The 24,638-nt window shown below is 54.3% G+C and overlaps 1 protein-coding gene across 13 annotated transcripts in view, besides 1 other annotated feature; it reads right to left on the minus strand.

The window, feature by feature from the left end:
• Positions 1–24,638, minus strand: part of LINGO1 (leucine rich repeat and Ig domain containing 1) — a 207,874-nt gene that overhangs the window by 74,716 nt on the left and 108,520 nt on the right. For 9 of the 13 annotated variants that reach the window (NM_001301186.2, NM_001301187.2, NM_001301189.2 and 6 more), the window contains one exon: positions 2,978–3,159. The exons of 1 other annotated variant lie outside the window; for it this stretch is intronic. The gene's annotated coding sequence lies outside the window, so the exon portion shown is untranslated. Of the gene's footprint in view, positions 1–2,977; positions 3,160–8,228; positions 8,407–8,648; positions 8,754–19,651; positions 19,766–24,638 lie in introns of those variants that run through there. 3 more of the 13 variants (NM_001301199.2, NM_001301200.2, NM_001301198.2) reach the window with 3 other exon arrangements.
• Positions 24,042–24,580: an enhancer, noted in NCBI's record as "H3K27ac-H3K4me1 hESC enhancer chr15:78004126-78004664 (GRCh37/hg19 assembly coordinates)". NCBI's record gives its function as "activates a minimal SCP1, AML or CMV promoter by ChIP-STARR-seq in primed H9 embryonic stem cells {active_cell/tissue: H9 hESC(primed)}" and the evidence as "EXISTENCE:reporter gene assay evidence [ECO:0000049][PMID:30033119]".

A 24,638-nucleotide genomic window follows, 5' to 3' on the forward strand; every position in this document is an offset into this window, starting at 1 on the left:
TGGAGGTAAACCCAGGTCTGGCTGAACATGAAAGTGAAGGTGTTGGCTGGCACATGGCAGCATTGAGATGCACAACCCAAAATACCTCCTCCCGTCACAGGGCCTGAAATCTCTTTTTTCCAAAAGAGGGAAGCAGAACAGTACTAGTCCTGACCTTTGGAAGGCAGAGTGGGCACTGTCTTGGGGCTACCACCATCGGGCTTCAGTTTATCCTTGCGGACAGGCTCAACCCAGCGGCTCCTTGCTTTTAAGCCACCTTGCTGACGCTCCTGTCTGAAACCTCCATCCTGGTTCAGTTTTCAGCTCTCCAAGAGCATGGGCTGTTGGATCCCTGGCCCCGGGTGACCCAGGTTTGACCCAAGCCTACTCACTTACAAACCTCAGAAACAAGGACCAATTCAGAGACTGGCCTGGATGGACATCAGAGCTGGGCTTGCCTCTGAAGACAGCAGGGCCAGGGCAGGAGGCGGCACCTGCCCCCGAGCCTCCCAACAGCCCAGCCAAGCCCCCCACTGTCTCTGCTACTCTCAAGCAGAGGGTCAAGTTGGTCTGCTGGCAAGACACATGGCTCTCATTTTAATTAATTAAAGAAAAATCTAATCACTGCATTAAACTTCTCATTACTCCACTTGAATACCCGTTAAGTAAATTTAATTACCAGAGGATTGGGTTTCCCAGCCTCTTTCATTAGCTTCTGATAAGATGGGGAGAGGGAGGGAAGAGGGCGGGCAGCAGAACAATGCTAGTCCTGACCCTCGGAGGGCAGAGTGGGCACTGTACTGGGGCCACCGCGGCAGGCTTCAGTGTTGCTTGGGGACAGGCTCAACCCTGGGCCTGGGGGAGACCCTCCCACCCGAGATGCCCCTAGGAAAGCAAGGGCCTAGCATTTGGCTGCAGTCGGCACTGAATGCTTCATTTCCCGCCACGGTTGGTTATTTATACCCCACCTCCCTCCAAAAGAATTGGAGGCTGCTGAGAACAACAGAAGCAGCACATGCTGAAAAACAAAGGAAGAAATCAGGACAAAGGAAAAATGAGAAAGAAGAAGCCACAGACAAGGTTATTAAGCAACTGCAAGCCACAGCATCCTGGGCACTTATCAGAAATAGGCCACAAACCAACTATGAGCTTCCTGGCAGTCAAGACAAAGACAGCAATGCACTTTGGTGCTGGGACGCAGTGACTAGCAGAGTATGAATGAGGCAATGCACACTGGGCCTTGGTCTTTCATCTGTGAAAAGGGTGGAGCTGGAAGATGGACTAATGCAGAAAACCACAGGCCGGAGCAGTCAGCAGAGGCTTCCTGGAGAAGAAGGGACCTGAATTGGGCCTTGAAAAGCAGGAAAGGGCAGAGAGTGAGGAAGGGCATAATAGGCAACAGGAACCGCAGGTGAAGGTTGAGAGAAGAGGAATCACTAGAGGAGAAGCAGCAGAGGTGGAGGGCAAGTGCAGAGCCTGGGTGTGGAAGAGGTTTCTCCAAAGAAGGGGCCAAGGTCCCATCCCATCACCAGCCCCCAGGCTGGCTGCCAGCCCCCTATGGTAGGAGGCACCGGGGGCAGGAAGAGCAAAAACCAGAGAAGACAACACACTCAGGAGGTCCGGAACTGTCGAGGCTGGGACACAAGTTCCGCCTCCCTGCGCTAAAGGGTAGGCTGCCCAGATGCCCTCTATGGCCGGTGCGCTACCCTGTCCCCCAGCTGCCCAGAGGGTGGGCTGCTGCAGCTCAATGCTCCCCCTTTTCTAGAGAACTGCCCTCCACAAATGGGGGCCACCTCACCTGGGCCATCCAGGCCCTCCCATGGGTGGCTCACGGCCAATGACTGATTGATACAGGGGCCCAAAAGCCCGACCTCCATGTGGGGGGTGGGAAGGGTAATTCTGTGTGTGAATTATGTTCCAGGGTTCCCTGGACCAGCCCAAGGCCCATCTTTGCCTGCGCTATCATTCCTACCCCGATTTCTTCTCTTCCTCCCTTTCCCTGAGGCCCTGCCCTCAATACAGCTCGTGTACACAAATCTTCGTCTCAGGCTCTGCCTCTAAGGATTCTGATCAACAATACACCCTTCTAAGTTCAAAAAAAAGAAACAAACAAAAAAACCAAACCAGCGATGTCCCAAACTTCCTGGAGGGGGAAGCAAGAAGGGGAAGGGAACAAGGATTTACTGAGAAACTGCTAGATGTCAGACCTTTCTGTACATCATCTCAGGGAGTTCTCTCAGCATCGCTGCCAGGTGAGATTCATTATCAGGTGAGAAAACTGAAGCTCAGAGAGGCATAGAGATTTGTCTGAGGATACACAGCACGTCCACATCCATCTATGACATCATCTAGAATGATTATTTGTTATTTGCCTTCCCTAGTTGGGGAGGGGTCTCCTTTCTCCTGTCAGCAGGATCCTAAGATTCCTTTGGGAAACGCTCACCCCTCATTCCTGGTAACATGGTTGGGGAAGGACAGACCCTGACCCCCAGCCCATCAGTGTTTCTAAGTCCTGTGGACCCAGTTAAAGGTTCAGGATGAGCTGAATCGAGATCAACTCGAGGACTTTCGTTTGTTCTGTCAGAGAAGATTTTGTCTCCACCCCCAACCCTAGTTCCAAACCTAGAAGCATGTTACCACAGAAACTGCTGCCAGGCATCTTTTGACCATGTCATGCCAAATGCCACTAAGCATGGAGCCATCACCAAGGAGAGGAGTGAAGGAATACAGACAAAAACCAGGTTCTGGTTGCACCGTTTGACTCACTGGATCAAGCCCTGCCTGAAGCCCATCTTACCACTAAATACTTTAGTTACAAGAGCTGATAACTTCATTTTAATGAAATAGGGTTTGTTTTAGTTTTTGTACTTTGCTACTTACAATCAAAGGGATCCTGACCGATACAGTGTACAGAAAGATATCCCTTTTGTTCTGGGGATCAAGAAGGCTTGGGTATCTCCAGGAGCCAGGGAATGGGTAGAGGGGGGATGCCACCTACCCTGACTGCTGCTGTGTCCTGCTGGGTCCCAAAGCTTGAGAAGTCCCCTTGGCCCAGGCTGGGGTCAGGAGTAGACTTGGGAGCTGGTCCAGGAGCTGGATAGAGTCAGAGCCCTGGAGATGCAGGCTGAAGGCTGTGTAGCCCCACAGACTCAAGGTAGCCAGGTCATGGTCATAAGATCCCTAGAAAGGAAGAGAAGCAAGAGTGAGTGGTAGGGTTCACAAGCGGCCTGAGGAGTACAGGAAGTAGGGCAGATGGTGGCCACACCTTGGTGAAGGTGAGACCAAAGGAAGATCCCTGGAAGCACCTCTAGACCAGCACTGTTTGACAGAACTTTCTACCACAATGACAATGTTCTGTCTCTGCACTGTCCAATATGGCAGCCACCAGTCATATGCGGATATTGCAATGTGGATAGTGTGATAAAAAAACTGATTTTTAATCTTGTTTTATTTTAATTAATTTACATTTAAGTCTAAATAGCCACATGTAACCAGTGGCTACCACACTGGACAACACAGCTGTGGATCAACCCTTGCCTGCCTCCTGGCCACAGTACATGGGAAAAACTGAGGTCCAGAGAGGAGAAGGGATTTGCCCGAGGTCACACAGTGAGAGGGTGGCAAAGGCAAACACAGTTCCTCCAACTCCCAGCCCTGATCCTCCATAGTACCCATTGCCCTTCCCACCATGGCCTCGTGTTTTCCCATCATGTTCATCGCCAGCAGTGTCTTGCTGTCTTGATACCCATGCTGCCATCCCTAGGGAAGGGATGTCCCTGGGGAAGGGATGTCCCTGGGGAAGGGTGTCAGGCTACCCTTGAAGGGACCTACCTCCTCCAGCCACTGCCACTGGACCCTCCCTCAGCCCCTCTAGCAAAGCAGCCCCAATGCATGTCCTGAGATTGTCCCGGAAAACTGTCACTCAGAGGGGAAGACTCTTGGGCACAGAGCCGTTATTTATAACAGCAAGACACTGCAGGCTGCCTAAACACTCCACGACAGAGATGACGGAGCAATTCACGGCACCCCTGCCAAGAGAGTATTACACAGCCATTAAAAATGATCAAGCAGAGACCGGTAGTGACGCTGAGTAATGTTTTCGTGACAATAACGAGGTAGAAAACTGAGAAAATGAGTGCAGGTGGGGGTTGGGTTGCAGGATGTACGAGGCCCACTCCCATCTGTCACCCCCACCCACGCTGCGGCATCACAGGGTCCAGATTACAGATCCATTTTACAGGAGGAGCGGGTGTTCAGAGAAAGCAACCACATGCGTGCTCCTGGCTCCATGGAGAGTGTGGGCAGAGTGGGGCTTGAACACTTGATTTCTGATGCCAAAGACAGACTTCTACAGCTGCCCTTTGTGCCATGATGGCAGCATTACGGCTGCCCTTTCCTTCTTACTTACTCATCTTACGTAAACACATATGTGCATCGTACTTATTAAGTGCCAGGAACCTTCCTCAGCACTTGACAAATTAAAAGTTAACTCATGGAATCTGCACAACAACTGGGTGAGGGAACAATGATTACCTCTATGGTTTGGATGAGGAAACTGAGGCACAGAGAGGTTAAGTAACCTGGGGCCACGTCTACTTCCCAAATATTCTGCAAGGTCTAGTACTGTCATCACAGGAAGAGGACAAGGGGGCAGGGAGGGAGTGGCTGTTGCCATGGAGGAGTGGAAACACGGACGGAGAGTTTTTCTCCTTTTTAATTTCATGGCAAATCTTTTGTATGGCAATTGAACGGAAAAAGTTCAAGAAGTAAAATAAAGGTAGCAAGGAAAAGGTTTTTTAAAAAATAAGCACACAAACAAAAATTAAAACTTATCAGATTGAAGTTGCGGATGCATCCGAGAGACCTCGACTGTGAATGTAATACACCTCCCAGCAGCAAAACTCATGTCCCTAGGCTTTTCTGCCAATTTCCCGACCTGGGACCACTCCCTCCTGCCTGGGTGAGATCCTCACCTCCGAGGGCAGCAGGGAGCAGCCCTGGGCAGAGGTAAACTTCAATAAACACCTCCTGGCTCCCTCCCGCCTCCAGGGCCCCTGCTGCCTGCAGTGCTCCAGCCGCCAGCAAGTGCTGAACCTCAGGACGCCATGGTATCCAGGCCTCTGCCTCTAGCCCCAGCCAGCCCCATTCCACAGGTGGAGCAACGGAGGCCCAAAAGGTGAAAGACTTCACCAGAGGTCACACTGCTACTGAACACGAAACGCCTGTGTGTGTGCTTATGAGTGTGCATGAACATGGCCCACAGGGACACGTGTGTCTCCTACGCACGCAGGGCTTCAGGCCCAGGTGATTAAAAGGGCAGGTGATTCCCAGCTTACACACCCATGTGCACGCGTGCACACACACACACGCACACACACAAAACTGTCATATCATTAACTGCTACTACAGCCACAATGGCATCATCTGCTATTTCTTCTTGTTTTCTGTGTTATTTTTCATTCATGCATCAAATACTTATTCGGCACTTACTATATACTAGGTATATTATAGGGGCTAGGATTCACTGGGGTACAACACAGACAAGGTTGGTACTCTCATGAGGACAGGGGATACCGATGATAAGCAAATAAATAAGCAAATACATAAACAAGATAATTCCAGAGTGACATGCAATAATGATCATAAAACCTGGTAATGTGAAAGAGAAGACTTGGGCTAGGGCTGGTGGGTTACTCAAGCTAGAGGAGCAAGGAAGGTCTTTCTGAAGCGGCCATATTGGAATTTATTCTATGGGAAATGAAGCTGCAGAGGGAGGCTGGGGCCCTGAGGGCCAGGGTAAGGGCTTTGGATTTCATCCCAAATGCAATGAAAAGTAACTGGAGGGTTTTAACCAGGTAAGTGCTATGATGTTTTCTTCATTGTTAAGAGTTCTCTGGAGCTGCCAAGTGGAGATTGAACTCAAGGGGATCAGGCCTGGGGCAGAGGACCAGTGTCACAATCGCCCAAGGACAAGAAGACAGGCTTAGCCAGGGTGATGGCACAGAGAGGGAGGAAACAGATTCGGGCAGTGTGTTGTGGCAGAACCAGCTGGCTGATCAGCTGGATGTGAGGGGGTGGAGGTAAGAAAAGGAGAGTAATGAAGGAAGACTCGTGGAGCTTCTACCATAGACAAGGACTGCTTTCACAACCAGACCCCACCCCTCAAGAAACCTCGGGGGCCTGATCAGGACTTCCGGTCCCTAATGAACAGACTTGGCATGTGTGTGTCCAGAGAGCAGAGCTAGGCCTAAGGAGAAAAGATTCCAGGGAAACAGATCTCTGTTCAGCATGAGAAGCAGTGAGTCTCCTGTCCCTGGAGGTATGCAAGCAGAGGTCTGGGGACCATGTGTGTTGGGTGGGGATTTGCACTAAAAGGGGAGGTTGATTTCTGCCATGAGCTTCTTCAATTCTGTCAATACATGAATCAGGGCTAGATTGCACGGACTGAAGCGGGTGTTACAGAGAGTCAAGGGAAGGCAAGGTAACGTCCAGCATAATAGTTATTATTATTATTAGGACTTCACAGATCACAGAACGCTCCCACCGATTCTCTACCTGGATCTGCAGCCCACACTGTGAGGCAGATAGGGCAGCATGATCAGCCCAGTCTAACAGATGAGGAAACAGGCCCAGAGAGGGAGTGGGATCAGCCCAGGGTTCCACAGCACATCAGCCTCAGATTCTCCGTGGCCTCACACCCTCTGTGGCCTCACACCTAGGGACCTTCTCCTCCCTCATCCCCAGTAGTCACCCCACCACCCCTGCCCTGGAAGACGCAGGAATCTCCCCACTCCACCCAGGCTTCCATCCAGCTGCCAAGACTCCCATCCCTGGAGGTTAGAGGCACTCTTTGCCCTCTGCCCCAAAACTTGAGAGGGGGTCTCAGCCTAGAAGATTTCCTCCCTGGTTACACAGGCCCTGATCCTCCACTCTGTCCCCCTTTACCCCTGGTGGTTTTGCCACAGCCCCTTAAGTTGGTCCCTTCAAATTAGACCAGTACCAAATACTAGGCTTTGCCCAGAAATGAAATAAAGTAGGGTCCCTCCCACGAGGCGTCGTTCTTACCCCACACCTACAGCTGCTGTGGGCCAGGGGCAACCAGAGCCCACCTGACCACCTTCTGACCACCTTCCCCTTTCCTACCAGACAGGCAGAGAGGGCACCTGGGCAGGTAGGAGTGTCAGGAGGTGGGGTCTCCCCGGGGGGCCTGGGATTGCCAGGTGGGGAAGCTGCCACCCACTGGCACTACATCATACACTGAACACTCGGGATAATCTTTTTTTTTTAATTTTTGACCAGCAGTTTGCCCTGACAGACCCCAGGATAGTCTTGAGGGCCAAGTGGGAGCATCTCACTTTTCAGGTGAGGCAGTGAAAGCTGGGAGAGATTAAAGAACTTGTCCAAATTGAAAATATTAAATGGAAAGAAACAGCTTGTAAGTGCTGGAGCCAGAATTTGAACCCAGGGCCGACTGATTCCAAAGGTCCGGTGCTGTCCCCTGCTCCCTGCTGCCTCGTGGAAGTGCCAGGCAGTTCGAAGAGGCAGCCCGGTGAGCAGATGGGGTGGGCAGGGGGTGGCAGAGAGAGGCAGCAGTTATGGGGTGGGAGGGAGAAGGCGACACAAAGAAAGGATAAAGAGAGCAGCAGAGACAGCTGAATGGACATGGGAACCCTGCAGGGGCCAGAAGAAGGCAGCTCTGGAAGCCACCCTCCTGATCAACGCAAGGCCCGCAAGGCCACCCTGGTGCCATCTGCCCCTCAGATCTAGCCACTAGTGTTCCCTGGGCTCATCCCCAGATGCCCAGGCCCAAGGAGCCCCCAATCATTGAGAGTGCTCCCCAATCATTAAAGGCATCCCCCACTCGTTGAAGGCCCCAGGTCAGGCCCTGTGGGCCAGCTCTGGGGCAGGGAAATGGGTTGAGGGAGTAGAGGGGCCAGCTCTGGCCCTGGGCAAGGCCATCTGCCCAGCCTCCCCCTGCCCCAGCCTGGCTGGAGTGTCCAGCCACCCAGGCTGCCCACCATGCCGGCCGATCTGTGGCTGAGCTCTGGGCCAGCCAGGTGTTCCCGAGGCCGGCTGGCAGCCCAGCACCATCAGCCTGTCCCCAGAGCATGCAAGGTTTAAGCAACAGCCTTTCCACTGAACATTTTAGAAGAAAAATATCTTTTTTTTTTTTTTTTTCAAGAGAGAGAAACGGAGGGAGGAGGAAACTGGCAAGGGAGGAGGAGGGAAGGAGGAAGGGAGAAACCTACCCCATCATTGCAGTCAAGGTCACAGGCACCGGCACAGGGCGGGCTGGGCAAGGAGCCTTTAATCTGGGAGTTCAGGCTGAGGAAACTACACGCTTGAAGCCGGAGTACATTACTGCCCTGAATGATCTGTCGGCTTCTATTAGGCTAAATATCTCTGTATAATGGGGAATTATCCTCTGAAGAGGCAAACTGCCGGCCTCTCCAGGGAGGGGGCGGTGGGAACCTCGCATCGTGAGGGCTCTCCCACGGTGGGGAGGGGGGAGCAGGACCGACTCAGAAAGCCAACCCCGTCCCACACCCCCACCCTGGAGAGTCACAGCCAGCAGCTGCTTTGATGTTTGTGGCGGGTGCCCGCCTCCCTTCCCTCCACCCCGGACTCTCCTCTTACTCCCTCCATAAGAGCCTGGAATGATGCCAGACCTGGGTGGAGGCCTGACAAGGCCACTGGTCAGCCAGGTGACCCCGGGCAAGTCCCTGAGCCTCTTGGAATCTCCGTCTTCCTGTCTCTTAGATGGAGCTAATAATACCCGCCCGAAGGCTGGCTGTGCCGGGGGTGAGCGCGAAGCTGGCATGGAGCCCAGCACAGAGTGGACAGCCTGCTCTGCCCACCGCGGAGGGCCCCCCTATCCTCCTCATCCTCACTGGCTCACCCAGGGCACCACCACCTCCTCCAGGAAACCCTCCCTGCCCCCTATCTCTGGGTGTCTCACACCCTGGGCACCTACAGCCAGAACCCCACCTCCGGGCCCTCCGTTTCCAGTGGCTGAGTAGGAGCTTCAGTTTTAGGAGACTCCCCTGAGCAGAACCGACCCCTCTTCATCTTCCCAACCCCCACCCACACACTCAGGACTGGGTACCGGGGCCTGCCCCAATTTGCAGGCTTAGAGTCAGGGGTTAGGGTGGCACCACAGGCATGGGCGGGGCCCACAGATGGGTGACACTCATGGGAAGGTGGTCAGCACCAGGGCAGCCGGGCCAGGAAGCCAGAAATCCCAGGACAGGGGTCTGCGAGAGCAGGGTAATAGCTGGACCATCAGCAGGACTGGCTAAGGCACAAGGCAGGGCTTGGGGCCAGGTCAGAGGAGCAGAGAGGAGGGCAGGAGCTTAAGGCTGCCGTGAGCTGTGATCATGCCACTGCACTCCAGCCTGGGCAATAGAGCCGGGGCTCAGTGCCAGGTTCCTGGTGCAGGGCTGTGTAGGGGCTGGAGCAGCTCAGGCCAGGAAAGGTCTTCGGGGTCAGGCGGGGGCAGAACTGACCTGTACGTGTGTCAGATGATGGTGGCAGGGTGGGGATCAGGGCACAAGGTGACAAGGTTCTGCAGACCCCAGGCTCTGTTCTCAGGGCTCCTATGCCACCCTCAACCTGTAGTAAATCCCTGGAATGGTTCAAAACCCCTTGCTGCAGATGCAGCCACTGCTGTTGCAGGGCCTGCGGGTGGGGACAATTCCAGGGTAAGACGCCTAGAGCCCAGTAGGACACACAGAAAGGAGGCCAACTCCAGGACAGGTCAGAGGCATGCTGTGTTACCCACTCCCCTCAGTAGGCCCAAAGGTCCAGCCCAGAGTTCCCACAGCCTGGGGGAGCTGCCAGTTCACTCATTCATTCACTCATTCATTCACTCATTCATTCAGCAAATGCCCTCTAATGCTTTCTGTGAATTAAGGGTACAAACACCCTGAGCAGGGTGTGGGGTGGAGCACAGGAAGGTGAGAGATGACAACTCGGGTGCTGTGTGAAAGCGGGAGCCTGAGGGGCTGTGGAAACAGGGTAGTGGGCATCTGATCCAGGGCTGCGGTTTGGGAAAGGCTTCCGGGATGAAAGGATCTTTGAAGGGGTATTAAAGGAAAACGAGTTGGGCTTGGAAGCAGTGGGGAAGGGCACCGCAGACTGCACCAGTGACAAGGCCCAGTGTCTGGAGAGGGAGAAAGCCCCCTCCTTCAGGCAGGGCCTAGTAGGCACCAAGAGGGATGGAGCTCTCATCCTAGGAGCCAGCAGGAGCTTGAAGTTCTAAGTGGGGAGTACCCAGAGTCTGGATTCGTGCTTCAGAAAGATCATTGCAGCCGCCACCTGGGGGAGGATGGATTTCAGGCAGGCGGAAGGACAGGAGGAAGTGAGTTAGGAATGAGGCAGTGGCCAGGGGAGAGGTGGGGTACAGCAATATAGAGGAGGGCGGATGAGGGAGGGTTCTGGGAGGCAGAAACTGCAAAGTGAGGACGGCAGTTACAATCCACAGTGCCAGCGTCCCACTGAGCATCCCCCACGCCTTCTGTCCAAACAGCATCTTTAACTCTGTAAAAAATCCATTAGTTACTTTGATCTGCACAACACTCAGGTGAGGCAGCCAGGCCAGGAATTCACTGCTTACTTAGTTCATTAATTCAACAAGCATGTGTTGAGTGCCTACTACGTTCCAGGCACCATTCTGGCCCACCCAACAGAAGGAAAAACTAAGACTCACAGACGCTGCCCAAGTTCTACAGGAGTGACCAGGACCTACTACTGGTTTGGGAACCCCGATGCCCCGTGTAGTTGGGGAAGGGGCGGGGTCACACACCAGGCAGGAGCTGTGGAAAGGGAATGCCTGACAGTGGGGCTGGCTCATGGTCCTCCGGGGCAGGGATGAGCCTCAGTCTGGAGGAGAAGCACCTCTTCCTCCAAGGCGGGAATGGGAAACCAGAGAGACATAGTGGGGTGGAAGGAGGCACAGTCGCTGGGAGAGGCTGACCTTCATGGGCTGGAGGCTGGAAAGGGTGAGGGGACAGAGATCAGGAATGGCAGGGCCATTAGGCCCAGCGGACTGTGGGCAGGGCCAGAGGGTGAGAAGGGTCGGGTGGGCACAGCAGGAGGATCGGGAGCAGGGCTGCCTTTTTGAAAGTGCCTGCAGTGAGAGGGGAGACGTGCAGGCAGAGTCCCTGAGTCCCTGCGGACAAGAGCAGGCCCCTGGACTGCCCTAGTGGGTGCCCCGTGCAGTGGCCTTAGGCTGCTCTGTGCTCAATAGGAGGCTACGGAGCCGAGAGAAGGAAGACCTTCCTCAGAGGTGGCTCCTAAGGGTCCAGGGATGTGTCAGGAAAGGCCAAGGGCAGCCTGACTGCCTCCTGAGCTCACTCACGCTGCCACGACAGGAGCTGCTGGTCAACTCCTCCTCTCCATTTCCCCCAAGTCCAGCCCTATCTACCCCCAACATTAGCATTCGCTGCTGAGGACCTTGGTAGTCCCCTCGTTTCCCTGGGCCCCACTCTCTTCATTAGCAAACTGGGGTGGCTCCAACCTCACCGATGGTCAGGAAAGCACGAGCCCAGACCCTGCACACAGTAAGTGCATACTAACCGTCATCCCTACACACAGTAAATACATACTAACCATCATCCCCCGCACACAGTAAGTGCATACTAACCATCATCAGCACACAATAAGCACATACTAACCATCATCCCCACACACAGTAAGTGCATACAAACCATCCCCACATAGTAAACACATACTAACCACCACCTGCACACAGTAAGCACATACTAACCATCATCTCCACACACAATAAGCACATACTATTATCCCCACACACAGTAAGTGCATACTAACCATCCCTGCACACAGTAAAGCACATACTAACCATCCCCGCACACAGTAAACACATACTAACCATCATCTGCACAAACTAAACACATACTAACCATCATCTGCATACAGTAAGCACATACTAACCATCATCTGCACACAGTAAGCACATACTAACCATCATTCCCACACACAATAAGCACATACTAACCATCACCTGCACACAGTAAGCACATACTAACCATCATTCCCCCCCTCTACCTCCCTGGTGGCAGGGCCCCTTACAGCCCAGTCCTCAGCATCCCCAGTGTCTCAAACACACTAAGTGCTCAATTAACTTTATGGGCTAAGTTTACCTGCTAACCAGCTGTTAGCAATGTGATCAGGTCAGAATTCTGCCCATTGGACCCAGTAGGGAAGGGGCTGAGAGGAAGGAGGACTTGACAGATGCCTCAGGGTGCAAGGAAGGAGTCAGCAGAGGCCAAAGTAACAGGGATGGTAGAGGCCCTGCTGTCACCACACACGTTAGCATTCTCAGGGTTTCAGGAGGTGGCTGGGGAACCAGCAGAGGGGAGGGCTGAGGGCAGGGCACTCCCAGGTAGAGGGTCCCTTGGCAGATTGGCCTCCTGCCCATCAAACCTGCTCCCGGCCTCCTCAGGGCACCTTCAGCCCTGAGAGCTCCTCCCCCCAACACACCTCTCCCTACCTTGGAATCTATCCCACTGTCTACCAAGCTCTCCCCTAATAAGAGCATTGCAGAGAAACTGAAAAAAGTCAAAAGAAGTTGCCTACTCTGGGAGAAGGGGCAGAGCTGGGAAGATTTCACAGAGGTGGCAGCTTTTCAACTGTGTGGGCCTCACCTAGCCCCTCTGTGAAATGGGATTTCTCTACTATGATGACAACAACTCTTACTACTACCACTACTAATAGTTAAAGCGTTTCGGGCACATACCCTGTGCCAGGCTCTGTGTGAGTACTCAGACAAATGGAGGCAGAGCTGAAGCCAAACCTGACCCTCCTAACTCTTAGTTTGGCTGGACTGGCTGGTGGAGGAGGTGACTGGGGCCCGAGCCTTGGGCCAGCTGCAGGCGGGGTGGTAGGTGGGGTCGGTGTTACCAGTGGTCAAAGTCTCCGAGTTGTATTACTCCAAGTGTTTTTCACATCACTGCAAGTAGCTGCTCCTGCTAAACCTGGGTGAGCAGGGGCGGGTAGGGGAGGGAATCTTCCAGAACCAAGCCAGAGCCAGCAAGGTCAGGGGTTGCAGATGGCTGCAGCAGCTCAGCTTGGTCCCCTCACAGTGTTAAAAACACTGGTGCTATGTGCGGCCTGCTACCCGCAGCCTCTCCCTTCCTGTCTTCCACAGGACAACCTCACCCACGGACCAGGCTTCAGCTCTTGGTCTAAACAGGCAGGAGTGGGTGGGAGGCCAGCATCACCATGGAAGAGGGACCAGGGGCAGGAGGAAAGCGGCAGTGTCCCCTGCTATGTGCACTCCTACACTGAAACCACACACTGTGGGATAGGTGTTCTTATTCCCACTTGACAAATGAAGAAACTGAGGCTCTGAGGCATATGTCCCTTGCCCAAGGTCAGGGGAAATGACAGAGCTGGGATGCACACTTAGCACTGTCTGGTTCTAAAGGACAAGGAGATGCCAAAGGCTGAAAGGTGAATGACACAGGAATTGGGTGCATCTCAAACATAACCAACAGGCCTGGGGGGTCTTTTTGGGGGAACCCTTCCTGGCTCTCCTCTCAGTGGCTGCAGGTCATCCCAAGCCCAGGGCCAAGGTGGTCTGGCAGCCTGAGGAGATGAGGAGAAAAGAGGCAAAGGAGAGTGAGAGAGGTCTCTTCTTTGGCTTCCAGCAGCTCTATACCCACCAAATTCCTGCCCCAAAGCATCCCACCTCCCTGGCGGGGTGGGAACCCCGGAGGCCCCAAGTTGATCAAGAGGCCTGAGAAGGCTTGTGATATAGTTTGGGTGTCTGTCGCCTCCAAATAGCATGCTGAAATGTGACCTCCTGTGTTGGAGGTGGGGCCTGGTGGAAGATGTTTGGGTCATAGGGGCAGATCATTTATGAATGGCTTGGTGCCCTTCTCGCCCTCTAACGAGTAACAAGTTCTCACTCTATTAGTTCCCATGAGAACTGATTGTTAAAAAGAGCCTGGCACCTCCCTCCACCCATGGCTCCCTCACTTCCTTTCTCTTGTCATGCGATGCCAGCTCCCCTTTGCTCTCTGGCACGAGTGGAAGCTCCCTGAGGCCCCCTCCCCTGATGCAGATGCCAGCACCATGCTTGTACGGCCTGCAGAACCATGACCCAAACATACTCCTTTTCTTTATAAATTACTCAGCCTCAGGTATTCCTTTAGAGTAACACACAAACGGACTAAGAGAGCTTGCATGGGGCCAGGAGTTTGGGGGTGTGGTTTAAGAGAGATGAAGGCCCAGCTGAGAGCTAGGACCCAAGCCACCTGGGGGCTGAGGCTAGTAGAGGGTGTCAGGGAGGCCCAAGAGAACAGGTGTCACAGATGGTGCCTGAAGGCCCACACTAGAGCTTCATTCCTTTGGGTGCTCCAAGGTGTTTAGTTCCCCCAAGGCTTTTGCACCTGGGAGAGGCAACAACTAGGAATATTGGCAGTGGATGGTAGGGCTGTGGGGCTCTACCCCATCCTCCACTAACACACTGTTTCTTGGCTCAAGTGTCTTGCCCTCTCTGGTTCCTAGTCATCCTGTCTGCAACATGAAGTGTCCAGGCCTACAGGCTGGGGGACACCTGCATCAGGCGGGTGGAAAGGCTCCAGACAAGCTGCCTCTCCCCATGCCAAGGGGAAGTGCTGACCCTGTTACAGCACCTGCCATTCCTGAGGGATCATGTGCCTGGGGTCAGGTATCACAGATGACCCCACCCTCCACCCCAGGGGCCTGGGGAGGAGGCTTTGCCTCCTTCAGTTGGTGTTCCCATTTGGAAAGCCTCAACAAAACACAGGCTGCATGCTCAGCACAACATGCCATGGCCTTCCTGCACCCTCTCAATGAGACCGTGATGCAGGTATCAGTATTCTAATTCTCTAGGTAAGGAAACTGAGGCTCAGACCAAAGTGGCCAGAAAGAGTTGCAGACCGGCCCCATGGTGGTGGTTTGGTTCAGCACCCCGGACAGCTGCCTTCCTGACTACCTGACTACCTCCAGTCTGCCTGGGCTACACACACACACACCAATGGCTAAGCTTGCTCTTCCCAATCCCTGATCCTATCTAAACTCCACCCAGCTTTTCCCAGCAGCTTCAGCGGCATGGCTGTGTTCTGTGCCATACAGCACTGAGACTTCAACAATGCAGCTCTTGCTCCCTAATACTTCTTCTGACTTAAATCTCATTCTCCCAGCAGCTCCTGGAGGGCAGGCAACAGTCTCTTTCCTTCTTTCTGTGACACAGTCCGGCCACACAGAGGGGACTGGAGAGAACCCACTGGCTTTGGACCAGGCAGATGTGAATGAGAACTGAGCTGGGAACTGCTGAGCACATTGCTTTGCCTTACTGAGCTTCAGATCCCCCAGCTGTGAAGCAAACTGCTCTGTCCATCTCGCAGGCTCGCAGATAAGCCACGGCAAGGGGCTACTCCTTCTTCATGTCAGCAGGGGCCTCCTTCCAACTCTCCCTGAGTCCCTTCCTCCTGGAACTTCACTTAAATTCTGGACCAGTTCCCCCATGAAATTTTCCAAATGACTCACAAATGGGGGGATTCTTGTAACTGAGAAATGTCAGGAAGGCCCAAGAGAACAGCTGGTATAGTGCCTAGAGTCCCACTCTTAGAACGTGATTGTTTCGTGTCCTCGTGGGTTTTCAGTTCCTACGAGGGTTTTGAGCCAGGAGGAGGGAACACCTAGGAATATTGGCAGTGGGAGGTAGGGTTCTGGGCCCCTCCACTACTAACACACTTTGTGTCTTGGAACAAGTGTCTTTCCCTTCTCTGAACCTCATCTGCAACATAAGGTGTCCAGGCCTACAGCAGGAGGGGTGGCAATCTTCCCACCACTTCCTGGAAGCAAAGGAAGAAATGCTTGTGGGGTGATGTCAGGGATGCTGGGAAGGACCCTCCAGAGCTCCAAAATCCAGGACCACAATGCTCAAAATGCCTCCAATGGGGCTGACACATTCCTTTAATCTCTAACAGAGAAGCCCGATCCTTGGGGTTTATGGGACCCTACAGACAGGCTATGCCCAGTCCCCAGCTGCTGGTGACAGGACCTGCCTGCATGCCTCAGACCTTGCAGGAAGGTCTCCTTGTCCATCCTCAGGCCTAGTTGGCCTTCCTAGGAAGTTTTGGCTTAAGTAAGGCTGAACTCACAGTCCCCAGTCTAGGCAGAAAGAGGAAGAAGATTCTATGGGGGACCCATAGGAAGAGAGCTCTGCCAAAGGTCCCTCTACCCCAGGGAGAAATGCTGAGGGACCCTGAAAAGGAATAAAGGGACAAGGAGTTTGAGTCCGGGCTCTCCCACTTAACTAGCTGTGACCTCAGAAAGACACTTTATCTTTTGAGTTCCAGTTTCCTCATCATCCTGTAAGATGAGGGCAATAATACCCACCATCAGTCCACAGGGTGCCTCACACATGGCAAGTTCTGAAGGATCTGCAGAAGCTACGACCATTCAAGCTTCTGCTCATCAGGGCTCAGAGAGGTGGCATCAGTCTTGAGCACTTGACTAACAGGCCCCATGGGAGAGACAAGCAGAGAGCTCAGAGGGAGTGTGGATGAGGCAGGGCCTCCAATCTGCCCCTGAGGCTACACATAGAGCACTATGCTGAGCTCCAACCATGGCCACACATTAAGCCCCGACGCTGGTCACATACTGAACCCCGACCCTGATCACAGATTGAACCCCAACCCTGGCCACACACTGAATCCCGACCCTGGTCAGACACTGAGTCCCGACTCTGGTCAGACACTGAGCTCTGACCCTGGTCACAGACTGAGTCCTGACACTGATCACACGCTGAGCCCCAACCCTGGCCACACACTGAGCCCCAACCCTGGTCACACACTGAGCTCTGACCCTGGTCAGACACTGAACCCCGACCCTGGTCACAAGCTGAGCTCTGACCCTGGCCACACACTGGGCCCTGACCCTGGTCAGACACTGAGCCCCGAGCCTAGTCACAGACTGGGCTCGGACCCTGGTCATACCCTGAGCCCCGACCCTGGTCACACACTCTAACCCTTGACACATTAAGCAATGGTCACACAGTGCAAGCCCTAACACCAGTCATAGACTGTGTTCTGACCCTGCATACATACTGAGCCCTGACTGTGCACACACTGAGCCCTGGTCCCACCCTGAACCCTGTCTCTGGCCCCACAGTGTAAATCCTGACCCTGGTTGCACATAGCCCTGACAGTCACCAGCCACCATGCCCAGTTTGCACCAGAGACCAGTGTCATGGTCTAGGCCCTAGGGAGGGTGGCCAGGCTCCCATCTCCTTGTGGAGAAGTTGCTGGGTTAATCTTCTGTCATATAAGCCGGCTCATCCCTGGCAGGGGCACGGGGAACCTGTGGGCCCATCCTTCTTGTTCCCAGTCCACACCCTCCCCACACCTTCCCTCATGCCACTGGCCTCTGCCTGAAGATACCCCCCTCCCCCTGCCATGACACACACACACACACACACACACACACACACCAGTCCACTTCCAGCACCCTGGACCTTGCTTTCCAGGTTCCCCGACCAGTTTTATTCCCTGACCACAACTCCACAACCCAAGCCCTGGAGATGCTCCTTGGCTCCCACCTCAGAAGATAGGAAGGTGGGATTCCTGGAATGCCGGAAGGAAAGGGTGCTATGCCTCACTCGTTCCCGGGGCTCACTGTCCAAGGGGAGACACTGAGGTCACTGGGAGGTGCGTGGTGGCCCCAGGGCTCCCGTCCTGGTCCAGGGCTCTTTCTACCCAGTCCTCTGGCTGCCTAGGGGTTTCCCTCCTCTCAGTGCCCCCACCGCCCAGCTGGCAGAGGAGGGCCCCTGTGGTGGGGACAGGCAAGTGCCAAGCACCCTCCCAAGACCAAGAAGGTGAGGTGGCAGGGGCTGGCAAAGCCTCGGGGAGCCACCCTGTCCTGGGCACTGCCACGCTCGGAAAGCCCTGACTTGGAGCTAATTTTTTACTTCTTCTCAGGCTGAACAACGGGATATTCTGGATCCTCTCAGGCACAATGGTGCCAAGGGGCTGAGCTGTTCCCAGGCTTGCAGGGTGGCTGAGGCCTTCTGGGCTGTGTGTCCTAGGGGAGAGTCAGCCACTGACTCCAGACACAGCCCCAGGTGAAGACCACCACGGTCACAATGGAGGTGAGGGGCCCACTGATGCCTGAAATCCCACCAGTCATTCACCCTGTGGGGCAAAGCACTGCTCTTCTCAAATGCAAGCTGAGATGGGGGCCAACAGCTCTGGGTCCCACCCTGGCTTGGAGTGCTGCCAGCTGTGTGGCCCGGGGTGGGCCGCACTTTACCTTTCTAAGCTTTGGATCCCTTGTCTGTAAGATGGGGATAATAACATATAAATCCCATTGTTGTCACAACTAAGATCCTGATATCCTCACCATCTCCCCTTGATGTCCCATAAACACCTCATCGTTCCTCGTCCCCAAACCACTCCTTCTCCAGGGCTCCTGCCTCAGCAAACATCTCCACCATCAACCCAGCTGCCCAAACCAGAAACCTCGCCTCCCTGTGATATCCCCACCCAACCCGGCACCTGTCCTGGGCCAGGCCCACCACGGCCTGCCAGACCCCCTGGAGTGGCCCACCTTACTCTTCTGTGTCCCTGTGTCCCTCTGCTCTTCATCCAGCAGCCAGGGCAGCACTGTTGAACCCTAAGTTAGATTAGGTCCCTTCCCTGCTTAAAACCCTCCAGCAACTTCCTCTTTCTCTTAGACCAAAACCCACCCACCCTCCTCACTATTGGCCTCAGGCTCTGTCTGACCCAGCCCTGACCACCTACCCAGCCCCACCTCCTCTGGTTCTCTTCCTGTTACCCCACAAGTTTCCTTCCAGCTCCTGAACACACCAAGGTTCTCCAGGACATGGAATGCTCTTCCTGCTCCTTGCACACAGCTCCTTCTTATCCATCTGATAATGGGATAAGACGCCTCCTCAGAGAAGCCCTCCCAGACTGCCCAGTCTCAGTATGCCAGAAGCCCATCCTGACCCCAAGAAGAACTGTGAGCCTCACTCGGAAAGGGGCCATGGCTGCCTTGCTCACTGTATGCCTAGCCCCTAGCACAGAGCCCAGAACATAGCAGGTCCTCAAGAAGCAGGAATCCCTGCTGAGGAGCAGACCAGAGACTCTACCCTCTCTGCTTCCCCAGCCAGATCCAGAAGCTATAGCCAGAGTCCCAGAGGAGATGCTGGCAGGAGAGACACATGGGTAGGCATGGTTCTGCCTCCGTGGGCAATGCCCATGGCTGTGGCTGTGCCAGGATGCCACACGGATTCCCTGTAGAAGACAGTACAGCTAGGGACTGAGCAGAGAAGGACCTGCAACTACTGAGACCATGCCAGCAGCTGGGTGTTCTCGAAACAAATTGCCTCAGCAGGTGGCAGGCTGCAGGCTGCAGGCAGGGATGCTGGAGGGGAACAGGATGTGCCATGTCTTCTGATGCTCCAGGAGAGAGAGAGGGAGAAGAAAGAGGGAGAAATGGTGGGGAGGAGGAGGAGAAGTCCAAATGGAAGTCTGCTCCACCCCACATTAGGCAGAGAGGAGAAAGAAAAGGGTCTCCACGGTCAAGCTCCCCTGGAAAGTAGAAGCAATGTAGGTTCACTTCCTGCTACATGCCCAATGATGGGCACCTGAGGCCTGTGGCCACAGACCCTACTCACCATGACTCTTGAAGCACAAATGATCCCAACCATTCTGCAGATGAGAAAACAGCTCAGAATGGCCACATGGCTTGCCCAAGGTGGCACCGCCAGCAAGAGATGGAGCTTAAAATCAGGTCAGAACTGGGGCACCAGGGATTTTAGCCAGACATCAAGAAAATCCCCTAAACAGGTCAGGGAAAAACCCTGGTCCCAGGAAGGGCTACGGTTCCCCAGAGGCTGCTGGGCAAAAGGACTGGACAAGTGGCTGAGGGCAGGAGGCTGAACCTATTGGCCTCCAGAGTCCCACCCAGCTGTGACGTTCTGCAACCACTGGGCAAGCTCCAGCAGCCTCCAGGAGGGCAGACTCAGGAAGAGGCTGGGCAGCCCTTGAGAACCCCTGGGGAAGGCTCTGACCATCAGGGTTTGCCAGGATGCCAGGCAGGAGCACAGGCACCAATCCAAGGTGGTTCTATTCTCTGTGGGAGGTCTTGACCTTCTAGGGCCACCAACAGAGACATGGGTGACCACGGGTCCCAGAAGAAAAGGGGCTGGAAAGGATGAGATGAGAGAAAGAAAGAGCTCTCTCCTATGGCCAAACCAGCCAGCGGGGAACCCTGTCCCACAGTTTTGACAGGCACCAGGCACCAGCTTGCCCAGAATTTCTGTCTTGCACAAGGTAATTACAGTTCTTCCTGTGTAATGAGATGGTTTTTAAAGGACATTCAAAAGAAATTTCCTATAATGAGGTGAATGGGTTTATAGTGTTAGACATCAAGGAAGCTGGTAATTGTTGGGACCCAGGCTGAGTCCTGGAGTGAAGCGACGAGTTTCCACATATAAAAGGCAAGAAGAGCAGGAGGGTGGATGGCAAGCCCTGGGAAGGAGGACAGACACTTTACCAGAAAAGTTTCTGTGACACCAGCAGCCCAGTGTGCCCTGAAGAGCAGAGTGGGGAATCGGGAGGCTGGAACCCTGTTGGGGCAGAGGAAACTGATGGAGCTGGGGCTGGTCAGGAGCAAGGGAAAACCCACAGGGGTGAAGCCACAGGGTGGAAGTCTGGGCCCAGAAGGAAAACGAAGGTACTAGGTTGAATAGTGTCCCCCCAAATTCATGTCCATCTGGAACCTCAGAATGTGACCTTATTTGGAAATAGGGTCTTTGCAGAGGTAATTAGTTACAAGGAGGTCATACTGGAATAGGGTGGGTCCTGATCCAACGACTGATGTTCTTATACAAGAAGTCAACTTGGCCGGGCGCGGTGGCTCATGCCTGTAATCCCAGCACTTTGGGACTTTGGGAGGCCAAGGCAGGCAGATCACCTGAGGTCAAGAGTTCGAGACCAGCCTGGCCAACATGGTGAAACCGTCTCCAATACAAAAATTAGCCAGATGTGGTGGTGGGCACCTGTAATCCCAGCTACTCGGGAGATTACTGGGTTCAAGGCAGAAGAATTGCTTGAACCCAGGAGGCGGAGGTTGCAGTGAGCAGAGATCGTACCACTGCACTCCACCCTGGGTGACAGAGCGAGACTGTCTCAACAAAAACAACAAAGAGGTCAACTTGGACGTAGACACACTCAGGGGAGGAGGCCACATGAAGATGGAGGCAGAGGCTGGAGTGATGCATCTTCAAGCCAAGGAATGCCAGCAACACCAGGAGCCAGAAGAGGCCAGGAATATCCTCTCCTAGAGCCCTGAGAGAGAGCACGGCCCTGCACCTTGATCTCAGACTTCCAGTCTCCAGAGCTGTGAGAGAGTAATTTCTATTGTTTTAAACCACCAGGTTTATAGTAATTTGTTACGGGAGCTCTAAAAAACTAATACAATAATTGTTCTAACAACTGCAACTATCTGGCCATGGAAAATGGCCTTAAAATGGGGTGAGCCTCCCATCTCCAGAGGTGTGCGAGCAAAGCTGGAGCATCCCCAGTGCCCCCAGTACTCTGGACAGCTCCCAAGGCAGGTTCAGTTAGTCTTCCATTTGACCTCACTGTATGCAGGGAGCCATACAGACAGGGTCATCATTCCCGTCCCACCGATTTGGAAACTGAGGCCAAGAACCTGCTCAAGAGCACAAAGTGGCCAGTCAGGGACAGCGGCAGGCCTGGAATCCCAGCATCCTGACCGCCAGTTTGGGGCTGGTTCAGGCTCACTGCCCTGGGTCTTCCTTTTGTGCCTTCTCTGTCTCTAGATTCAACTGTGGTTCAACGTCCTGGAAGGCAGAGAAAAACCCAGCCTTCCTGCACCCGGCTGTTCCAGACTGAAAGTGGCATCACTGCTGAAAGGTCTTTCCCAACTCTCTCCTGAAGCTTTCCAGTGGCGCTGCAGGCCCACTGCTTTGATGTGCCTGTCCTGATGGAGCCACAAGCTTCTCAGACATGACTTGGCTTATGGAGAAGCTACACTAGCTGGCAGTCCCTTGATGAGCACCTACGGTGTACAAGGCCCTGGTACAGTGAAGGGCAGGGGTAAACACAGGGAAGGTGGGAGCCAACATATCAGGGACTGAGTCCGTGCATATCAGACCACCCAGTGAGACCCCACACGGTGTCCCCAGACCTAGTTTGGCTTCTGACTGGGCATCCCAGACCCTCCTCAGGAGGATGGAAAGAGATGGCAAAAGGGTGGGTCTGAGAAGGGCACAGGGGAGTTGGAGCAGAGAAGAGGAGTCCCCGTGGAGGAGGAAGGGAGAAGAGAGGGTGGCCGAGGGAAGCTGCAGCTCCTATGGCTTCTCCTGCTCCTTCCAGGCCTCTGGAACCCCAGGGGGGCAGGGGCTGCCGTGGGCTGTCCCTCACCCCCACCAACACCCGGCACTCAGCTCCACCCTTCACGTGTCTGCCTGCATTGCTGGAGAACTTCATGGAGGCCCCTCAGCTCCGACACCAAATGAAGCAGGAGCATGGCCAAGCTTGCCAGCCCAGGCGGCCCAGCTCTAAATGCTGGTTAATTGGCGCTGAGCGGCAGAGGGACGTGAGGAATGGGCTTTGAAGTCACCTGGTGGGACTTGTCCAGCAGGAACAATGGGCCACCCAGCTGGTAGAGAGTCTCGGCTCCTAATTAAGAACCGCTTTGAACATAGAGACATCAGATTAATGAGGTTTACAGAGCTCAGTTTCACGGTGTGGCAGGCTGCCTCTGTTCTCTGATCGCAGTTTGATGCCAAAACCTTGTTCTCTAAATCAAAGGTTCTCCAGAAACTCCGTTTTCTGACATGCCTTGGATTTCTGCTGGGCGTCTCTGCCAGGGAGCTAAAAGCCTTCACCTCCATTCCTTCACTTTGCCGCGGTGCTGGCTTTTGTTTCGCTGAAGAAGACTTCACAGAGCTGGAACACCTCACACAGCCCACCTGCGAGGGAGGACGGGGCGGCTGGGGTAGCCCCATTTAGCAGAGCATGCTTGCTCAAGGTCACACAGCAAGCTGGCCAACCGTGCCGGGCCGCCAGGCCCCCAGATTGCAGGGCCTCTCTGCTCTTGGCAGCTTTGATGGTGCCAGGCCATGGAGGATCCACTGGCCAATTTCCCGCTGTTGGCATCTGTTCACAGGCCTCAGGGGCCTCTGGTTCACCATTCTTGGGAGAAGATTGAGACGTCTGCAGGAGGCAGCCCGCACGGCCTTGCTTTCTGCCTCTTCTGTTCCAGTGGGGCACCTTCTTCCCCAGCCCCCTCTCTGAGCCTTTGCTCACCCAGAGCCCTCCCTTCTTCCCCTCCAGAATGTCCCCTCTCTGATCCATTTCATTAAACTCGCACCTCCCTTCAAAACCCAGCTCAACCCTTGCTCCTCCTTTGCCACCACAGTCCCTGGATCTTTCTCTTCTTCCCCAAGAATTTCAGCCCCAAATCCCTGTTTCCTTGAACAATTGCTTCTTGCCCTATGTTCCACTGTTTAACATTACTATATTTGCTTATTATTTTGTCCTGTCTCCCCTATGAGACTGTGGCTTAAAGAGAGGCATGGTGCCTGTGTCACCTCTGTGTCCCCGACATTGAAGACTGGCCGATAACGAAGATTCCATCCTCCTTTGACACTCTGGGGGCCACAGGGAGAGAAGACACCTTCCTGCCCTGTTTCCCCAACTTCCAAGTAGGCCTGAGGCCTGCATCCTGCTTCCTTCATGAGGCTGCTGAATGAGTGTTGGTAAAGATGGCAGCCCTGGGGCAAAGACAGGGAGGCTGAGGAACACTGAGGCTTGGACAAGTCAATTCCTCTCTCTAAGCCTCAGGTTCCCTATCTGTAAACAGGGTTAGCCCGAGGATTCACAGGATGCGTGCATTAAAACTCAATCCTCACATCCACCTTGGGAGTATGTACTGTCATTCTGCTCTATTTCACAAATGAAGAAAGGCCCAGAAAAGTTGGAGGAGGCAGTACTGAAACCTAGGCAACAGGCGGCTCTGGAATCCAGCCTCCACCACACCACTGACTTTCAAGCAGACCCTCTGAACGCTTCAGCGGAGCTTGTTCCTTCTGAAACGTGCTTACCCTCTCTAGGCCTCTGTTCTCTCCTCTGAGGGGGGGGCACACAGCGACATTCTGCAGATGATTTCTGCTCGGCCAGGGCAGGCTGATGTGCTCCCTGCTCCTCGGGGCTCTTCTAGACCTCAGGTCCAGATTCCTCCCATCTACAGTGGTTCTGTCCCTGTGGGACCTAAGAGGTGGCTGTGCCTCCCTCTGCCTTCGAACTTCCTGGCCACTTCCCCTCACCCACAGAGGGCTCCTGTCTGTCCTGCCCTGCACCTCAACCCTTGCATCCTTCTAGGTGACTTCCCCATGCTGGGGGTGCCCCTACTGCCTGCTTCCAGTCACCTTCAGCTGCCATTCCCTGCAGCCTCTATCCCAGGCCACACCCTGGCCCTGTCACCACCATGGCTCCTGGTCAAACCTCCCAGCTGGCCCTCCAGCTCCTCTCCTTACAATCCTCACTGCACCGAGACCTTCGCACCTCACCTTCCATCACTGCCCTTCCGCCCTCACTGCCCTTGGTGAGCTTGAGTTCCATGGTCCATCA

Source organism: Homo sapiens, chromosome 15, assembly GCF_000001405.40.
Source record: "Homo sapiens chromosome 15, GRCh38.p14 Primary Assembly".
Classification (NCBI taxonomy): domain Eukaryota; kingdom Metazoa; phylum Chordata; class Mammalia; order Primates; family Hominidae; genus Homo; species Homo sapiens.